We start from the raw sequence: 8,795 nt of genomic DNA, 5'->3' as shown, positions 1-8,795 counted from the left end.
CCCAGTCTCAGGTATTTCTTTATAGCAACACAAGAACAACCTAACATGAATGATTCACCATTTTCCCAAGTTTCTTGTTTTGGCCAAGATTCTGGCAATAATCCATATTTGAAATCAAAGTATCTGGTATCAATTCATACTTGAAGTCACTTGAAGTGCCAGGCATCAAACCATACTTATTATAAAATCATGTGAAGTTCTAACATCACCTCCATCTTGATTAGACCCAGCTTCAGCCAATACATTCTTATCATCATCTGGCCCTGAAAGTAGAGCAACATCCAAATCTGGTTCTTCCAAGATTTCTACTCAAATATGAGTAGCGTATTTTCCTCTGAAAAGGCAATAGATGGCTGCATCATTGAGTAATCTTCCAAATTTGTTTCATTATTAGATGATGTATTATAAATAAATCTCCTTGTAGTTTGGTTTTTCCTCCGTGTTTCCCAGTTTCTTGAATTCCCTGGGAGCCCATATTATTCCAAGCAAACACTTGTTTGACCTTTGGATTTGTTTTCAGCCATTTCAGGAGATGCATTCTGGACCCAACTATTGTCACTCACTTGGTAGTTTTCTGTTTGGCCCTTGTTGACATTACAGCCATCATTTTCAGTTTTTATATTACTTGCCAAATTGGTAAGATTTAATGTTGCCCAAAAATTGGCAATTTTTTGATCCAATGATGAAGACAGACCATCTCTATTAACTGAGTTTTGTTTGTTTGTTTGTTTGTTTGTTTAGACAGTCTTGCTCTGTCACCCAGGCTGGAGGGTAGTGGCACAATTTTGGCTCACTGCAACTTTTGTTTCCCAGGTTCAAGCAATTCTCATGCCTCCCGAGTAGCTGGGATTACAGGCGTGAGCCACCATCCTTGGCTAATTCTGTATTTTCAGTAGAGACAGGGTTTTGCCATGTATGCCAGGCAGATCTTGAACTCCTGGCCTCAAGTGATCCATGTACATTGGCCTCCCAAAGTGCTGGGATTACAGGCATGAGCCACCATGCCCGGCCTGGTTTTCTATTATTATAGTCCACAACTGCAGACCCATGGAACTTCTGATTTAATGCTTATATTTAATCTTTAATAAATTTAGGCATCTGTAATAAAATTTCAGCAAGTTTGAAATTTCACTTGTTTGAAGATAGGCCACTGTCATTATTTTGGCTTGTGAGTACAAGGTTACCAGAATACAAGAAGTCCACAAGGACTGAAAAATTTTGACTGCTGCAGTATCTAAGTGGGTAGTATTATTTCGGTTAGGGCTTTCTTAGTTTTTAACACTATATAAAGTCTTAAAGAAATGGCTGCCAGCAACCAGGATGTTCTTAGGAGCCTTACAGATTTTCTGCTTACTACAGTGCTGACACCACAAAGTTTACCTTTCTTTTTTGTTCATTTTGTTGTCACAGAAGTTGACAGCAGTAACAGTTCTCATTTGGTCTGCTAGTAAACTCACAGTACCCCTCCTCTGATGGTATTCCTGACTAAAAGCGTACGTCATCTGACTAGCTATATTTTTTTAAAAAATTTTGGCTGTTTTGACTACTGCCGTCCACGTAAGATATGACTTGACTTGCTCCTCCTTGCCTTCCGCCGTAATTGTGAAGCCTCCCCAGCCACTTTGAACTAGATGGGGTTTCGCCACGTTACCCAGGCTGGTCTCAAACTCCTGGGCTCAAGCAATCTGCCAGCTTCAGCCTCCCGAAGTGTTGGGATTACAGGTATGAGCCATCGTGGCTGGCCAATATTTGAACTGAGTGTGGAGTGGCACAGGAAGAGTGGGGAAGAACTGGAGTGAGCCACTGGCTTCGGGTGGGATGCTCAGGTTTTAGTGAGGAATGGGGTCCATCTGCAGACTCCTCTTCAGACTGCCAGTCATGCTCAGTGGTCAGATCCTCTCTTAACAGGGGTTCCTCACATAGCAGTCAAGTGGGAAACTGGAGATTTGCTTGGAAAATATCCCCATCTGTGTCCCTGCTCTGAGCAGGGTAAAGTTTCTGGTAAAACAGCACACAGGGAAAAGGATCAATTCTTTCTGTTGACCGGCCTAGAGTGGTCCTGCTATGAGTCAAGGGGAAAGGTGTAAGAGTATTTACCAAGATATCTTTCTGAGAGCCCTCTGATATTAAGGTCAACTGACTCTTCTCTAAATGGCCTTTATTTAACTATTTCTCTCAGCCTATAGGACTTGCCCAATGATATGGTTTGGTTCTGTGTCCCCACCCAAATCTGCAGAGGTGGGGCCCTCATGGAGAACCTCTGCTAGGGCAATGTGGAAGGGAAATGTGGGGTCAAAGCCCCCACACAGAGTCCCTACTGGGGCACTGGCTAGTGGAGCTGTGAGAAGAGGGCCACCGTCCTCCACATCCCAGAGTGGTAGATCCACTGACAGCCTGCACTGTAGGCCTGGAAAAGACTCAGGACACTCCACAACTGCCTGTGAAAGCAGCCATGAGGGAGGCTGTACCCTGCAAAGCTATAGCGGCAGTGCTGCCCAAGACCATGGGAACCCACCTCTTGCATCAGTGTGACCCAGACGTAAGACATGGAGTCAAAGGAGATCATTTTGGAACTTTAAGATTTGACTACCCTGCTGGATTTTGGACTTTCATGGGGCCTGTAGCACCTTTGTTTTGGCCAATTTCTCCCATTTGGAATAGCTATATTTACCCAATGCCTGTACCCCCATTGTATCTAGGAAATAACTAGCTTGCTTTTGATTTTACAGGTTTGTAGGCAGAAGGGACTTGCCTTGTCTCAGATGAGACTTTGGACTTGGACTTTTGGGTTAATGCTGAAATGAGTTGAGCCTTTGGGGGATTGTTGGGAAGGCATGATTGGTTTTGAAATGTGAAGATAAAAGATTTGGGAGGGACCAGGGGCAGAATGATATAGTTTGGCTCTGTGTACTCAACCAAATATCATCTTGTAGCTCCCATAATTCCCATGTGTGTGGGAGGGACCTGATGGGAGATGATTGAATTATGGAGGCAGGTCTTTCCCATGCTGTTCTCATGATAGTAAATAAGTCTCACGAGGTCTGACCGTATTATAAGGGGGAGTTTCCCTGCACAAGCTCTCTTAGCCTGCCGCCATCCATGTAAGATGTGACTTGCTCCCCTTGCCTTCCATCATGATTGTGAGGCCTCCCAGCCATGTAGAATTGTGAGTCCAATTAAACCTTTTTCTTTTGTTAAGAAAAAAAAGTTTTAGAGATAGGGTCTTACTATGTTGCCCAGTCTGGTCTCAAACTCCTGGCTTCAAGCAATCCTTCTGCCTCAGCCTCCCAAGTAACTGGGATTAGAGACATAAGTCACTGTGCCTGGATTTTCATTTTAAATATTTATAATATTGTATGTAGGTTTTCATTTTTTGCTCTTGCTGTAGGTCCCACAAATGTGAGGGATAGGCTTGTACATCACATATGCCCATTACTATGATCTTAATATTAATGCCCCCAAAATTTATATGTTTAAAAACCTAATCCCCAAGGTGATGACATTAAGAGGTGGGGCCTTTTTGGAAGTGATTAAGCCATATGGGCAAAGCCCTCATTGGGATCAGTGCCCTTATGAAAGAGGTTGAAGACAATCTGCTGAGCTTGCATGTGTGGGGGTGGGGCCCTGTGGCTTCCCCCTGCACCTCCAGGCCACTGAGGTCTGCATCTGCCCTCTGGAGTTCAACCCTCACTTAGTGGCACAGTATGATACCCTAGGAGTGACCGGTGCTCCTGGAGGCAGCTGATACATACCTTGCACCTGACTGGGGTGCCTAAAGGGCCAGTTGAGGGATATGAGGAGGATGAACAGTTTCTGAGGAAGATGTACCATGTGCTGCTGGAGGTGGATGTGTTGGAGGGCACCCTGCAGTGCCCAGAGTCTAGACGTGTGTTCTGCCTCAGTCGCAGGGTTCCCAATATGCTGCTGAATGATGAGGAAACTGAGAGTTGATTGTGCCAAGTGCCAGTTTTCCTTCTCATGATCGTGTGAATTTTTGTTGATGTATATCCTGTTTCCTAATTCTGCTACATGTATCCCCAACCCTTGGCCCAATGGCACACCAAACACACCATATTCTTGAGCTCGATAGTATATGTTTTTTCTCATTAAAGTTTCAAACAAAAAAAAAGTAAATAAAAAAATAAAAATAAAAAAGAGGTTGAAGGGAGGTGCCTTGCCGCCTTCACCATGTGAGGATGCAGAAACAAGATGCTATCTATGGAGCCGAGAGTAGCCCTTACCAGAGACCATATCTGCTAGTTCCTTGATCTTAGACCTCCCAGGCTCCAGAACTGTGAGAAATACATTTCTATCGTAAATTACCCCGTCTAAGGCATTTCATTATAGCAGCAGAGACCAACAAAGACAGAAATAGGCACAGAGAGATAGGGTGTGTTAATAACAAAACCTAAAAATGGGAAAGCAGCTTTGGAACTGCATAATAAATAAAGGATGGAAAGAGTTTACAGGTCCACTGCCATGAAAGGAGCCTTAGGGGCAACTCAGGTGAGGGTTCAGAAGAAGGTGAGGTTGAAGAAGCTGTAGAAATAGCCTCCATCTTCTTAGAGATTACCTAAGTGGTTGTGATCAAAATGTTGATAATACAGAAATACAGATGGTAAAGGCCATTCTGATGAAGTCTCAGACAAAAATGAAGGACACGTTATTGGCAACTGAGGACTAGATGATCTCTGTTACAAAGGGGCAAAAGAACTTGGCCAAATCATGTTCATGTTCTAGAAGAAATCTCTAAGCAAAATGTTGAGGATTTTGACTACTTATAATAAAATGTGGAAGCAGAACTTAAAGATTTGGAAAATTCTCAGCCTGGTCATATTGTATAGAGTGGAAAGCTGTGTTCAAGAGAGAACACCAAGGGTGTGGCTAAGTAACCGTTTGATAAGGAGATTAGTACGGTGAGGCAGAAATCAGGTGCTATTTATCAAGATAATGAAAGAATGACACCAAAGGCCTTTCAGTGTTTATTTGTGCTGTCCTTCCTATCATAGGCACAGACTGCCAAGGCTGGGGGCAACATATCTGTATCAAAAGAGGAAGCTTGGAAACCGGTAGGACCTTGACGCCAGGTGGCCTCAAATCTCCACTTCCTGCATTCTGCTGCAATGCTCCTCACCTGCCCCAGGTATGGTTCACGCAGGCCCATGTGCAGTTTGGGCCACTCTCTGGAAGGCAATATAGTAAATCTTGGTGGTGTCTGTGCAGTGCTATCTCTACCAAAGTGCAGAGTGCACAAGTCATGAGGGCATGCCTGCCTCCACTTAGATTTCAAAGGATGCCCCAGAAAGCCTCAGAGCCCAGACAGAGAACTATCACAGGAGCAGGACCACCACAGACAGCCCCCACCCCAGTATGGCAATGCCCAGTGAAACCGTGGGAGCAGAGCCACCCCCAAGACCCCAGACTGGTAGAGCCACCAGTGTGCAATTCCAGCCTGGGAGAGCCATAGGCATGTGACTCCAATATGTGAGAAATGCTATATGGGTTTTGCCCAGCAAAGTCATGGCCAGGACTACCCCCCACCCCCCAAGTGTTTAGAAGGTAAAATGTCAAGTCGAAGATTATTCTTGAGCCTTAATATTTGCCCTGTTGGGTTTTACAGTTAGTCAGGATTTATTATCTTTTTCTTCCTTCCTACTTCTACCTTTTGGAAAGGAAATGTCTGCCCTGTGCCTATCCCACCATTGTATTTTCAAAGCATGTAACTTGTTTGATTTCAGAGGCTCACAGCTGAAGGGGAATTTGCCTCAGGATGAGTCACACCTTTGAGTCTCAGTCATATTTGATTTAAATGAGACTTTGGACCTCAGACTTTTGAATTGGTGCTGGAACAAGTTAAGGCCTGGGGAGCTACTGGGATGGAATGAATACATTCTGCATGTGAGAAGAACATACATTTCGGACGGCCAGAAGCAGAACTCTATGGTCTGAATTTTGGTGTTTCCCCCAATTTATATGTTGAAACCTAACCCCCAAAGTAATGGTATTAAGAAGTGGGACCTTTTGGGAAGTGATTAAATCACAGAGGCTCTGCTCTCGTGAATGGGATCAGCCTTAAAAAGGTTGAAGGCAGCGGTTTTGCTCCTTCTGCCATGTGAGGATGCAGCAACAAGGTGCCATCTGTGGAGCAGAGAGCAAACCCTCATCAGACACTAAACCGGCCAGTGCCTTGATCTTGAATTTCTCAGTATTCAGAACTGTGAGAAATAAATTTCTATTACTTATAAATTACTGAATCTATGTTATTTCCTTATAAATAAAGCAGCCAAGGACAGTTACGTGATCCTAGATCACCCATTGCCATAATGTTTTCAGGTGAGACTTACTGGCCTTCAACTCTCAGCTGCCTTCCAAGCCCATCACTATGAGAATATGGAAACTTCCAGAAACCTTTCACAGAACAGGAGAGCAAAAAGAGACTTGCGTGTGCTATCTTTGAATCTCTATTTGTCTAAACACACAATGTCCCATTTTACTGTGTTTTCCAGAACTCCAAACAGGAAATAGAACAAAAGGTTCCTCCGGGATTTTCAGTTTTTCATAATCCATTCCCACCTTTGGTCAAGGCCTAGACCTTTCTAGGCAGGGTTGCCTTCTTCCCTAGGACAATAAGTCCCAGGTCTTTGCCTTAATGTAATAAAGCTTCAGAAGAACAATAAAATGATTGCTGAGAATTGTAAATGCATTGAGAGATATTATTAAATATTATTCTTGCCTTACAAGTAATAGGTCAGGGAGTAGCCAGATATGGCAAAAATTAAAAAGATGCTACTATAGTGAATTCTTATAATTTTATATTGCCTTTATATGCATGTATACTCAAATGTATCCACTTTGAGTATAAGTTGAACTTTCTCATCCCAGAAGCAGGACTTAGTCACCCTTGACAACAATTTCTAGTTCTCTGTCTCTTTCAACTTCCTCACTGTGGCTGATCCAGATATCTGCTTATACAAATGCCTTTTTGTGACCACCTCCTTAGGGGACAGCTAGATACAACTTACTTGACTTGCCCACTGACCCCCACACCTCATACGAACTGTGCAGATATGCTCAGCAACCACCTCTCAGTTGCCTGTGACCTCTTGGAACTATTGCCTGCTTGTTCTAAACCCATCAATTAAAACTCCCCTCGGGAAACCTGCTTGGGTAACACCCTGAACCCCAATAAAGGCTTTGGACCAAAGGTCCCTCTCTCTCTCTTGCTCCCCACATGCTGGTTGAGTGCATATCCTGGAAAGCTCTCCCCTTCCCGTTGGTGCTCTTTCCCTCTGTTCTCTGATCTGTAAGTAATACGCTCTTCTGTTATTTCGTGTGTTTTGCTAAGTTGCCTCTTCTGTGTCTCACCTGACCAACACACCCAAATCTACCTTCTACCTTCTTTCTCCATCAGGGCTGTCCTAGAGAGGGGCTGTCTTGGTAGGAATAAACTGGACACAGGTCAGACAAGAGCCCCAAAGGCATCTCCCAGTATAAACAAGTTTTCTGTGAGAGGAACACCCTGTCGTGGGTTGGACACCCAGGCATTAGGCTGTCTGCTGATACAGAAGTGTCCCATGAAAGACACACTATAAACATTCATGCCCAAATCCCTGGAGCCCTGGCAGGGTAGGGCAAGATTTTTTACCCATGTTCCTGAGAGAGACCTCAAGACCAAATTAGAGGAAAATACAATAGCTACCTAACGAGTAACTTTTTTGAATATTGTTTAGAGCCAGCCTTCTCATTACATAGGTAAGTAACAGAGCCTTGAATTTTTTTTTTTTTTTGCAATTAATTTAATGGCAGGACTGGGATTAGAATTCGGGGATTTATCCCTATATTTTCTCCATTCCATTATATTGAGATTTTCTCCCATAGTCTATTAAACTCTGTTCTCTGGAAATTTGAAATAAATTTTGGTCATACACCGTCATTGTTTTTATCTTAGGACAGCTAGAAACACTTCAATTTCTATATTTACCCTTCTTATGGAGAACATTTTTTAGGTTCCATTAATGACTAGGAACATTCTTGGATCTATCACAAAAAGAGTCATAGTTTCCATTGATTGTGCTGTAGCTATGTGGAAACTTCATGGAATCCCTAAGTATACCTGGTGACTTTAAACCATCAGAATAGTCTTCATTGTGGCCAGGCATAGTGGCTCATGCCTGTAATCCCAGCACTTTGGGAGACCAAGGCGGGCGGATCACGAGGTCAGCAGATCGAGACCATCCTGGCCAACACGGTGAAACCACGTCTTTATTAAAAATACAAAAAATTAGCTGGGCATGGTAGCAGGTGCCTGTAGTCCCAGCTACTCAGGAGGCTGAGGCAGAAGAATGGTGTGAACCCCAGAGGCAGAGCTTGCCGTGAACTGAGGTGGCGCCACTGCACTCCAGCCTGGGTGACAGAGCGAGACTCCACCTCAAAAAAAAAAAAAAAAAAAAAAAAAAAAAAGAATAGGCTTCATTGCAAAATCATTTATTTTTGCTACCATTTCCCCTCTCCTTATCCATGACTTAAGCAATCAGATGTTCCTAAATTTTAACCTTTTTGTCAGTAATTCTAGATTTTTTAAAAAGATACTTTAAAAGATTATAATGGGCACAATAATATACTTCCAAGATTGCAATCTATAAAGTAAAATTTCCCTGATAAGAGATGTTACATGACACATGGTATAAATTAATTTGATACTAAAATTTATGTTAGGAAAAAGAAGACCTTTTTGCTAAGCATGGCAGGTAGTCAGGAGCAGTTCAGTGTGGTAGGTTATAACAAGAGTCCTGAAA

General features: G+C 43.1%; 2 pseudogenes, besides 1 other annotated feature; one reads left to right on the top strand and one right to left on the bottom strand.

Moving 5' to 3' along the window:
- Positions 5-1,487, bottom strand: LOC100421197 (zinc finger and BTB domain containing 10 pseudogene; annotated as a pseudogene).
- On the top strand, positions 3,573-4,119 carry TRMT112P4 (tRNA methyltransferase subunit 11-2 pseudogene 4; annotated as a pseudogene).
- Positions 5,596-5,890: an enhancer, noted in NCBI's record as "tiled region #10276; HepG2 Activating DNase matched - State 5:Enh; Region: biological region". NCBI's record gives its function as "activates a minimal TATA promoter and a strong SV40 promoter by Sharpr-MPRA in HepG2 cells {active_cell/tissue: HepG2}" and the evidence as "EXISTENCE:reporter gene assay evidence [ECO:0000049][PMID:27701403]".

The sequence above is a fragment of the Homo sapiens genome, chromosome 9, assembly GCF_000001405.40.
Source record: "Homo sapiens chromosome 9, GRCh38.p14 Primary Assembly".
NCBI classification, from domain to species: Eukaryota; Metazoa; Chordata; class Mammalia; order Primates; family Hominidae; genus Homo; species Homo sapiens.
The sequence above is the reverse complement of the archived record's forward strand: the minus strand, read 5'-3'. Positions and strand labels throughout refer to the sequence as shown.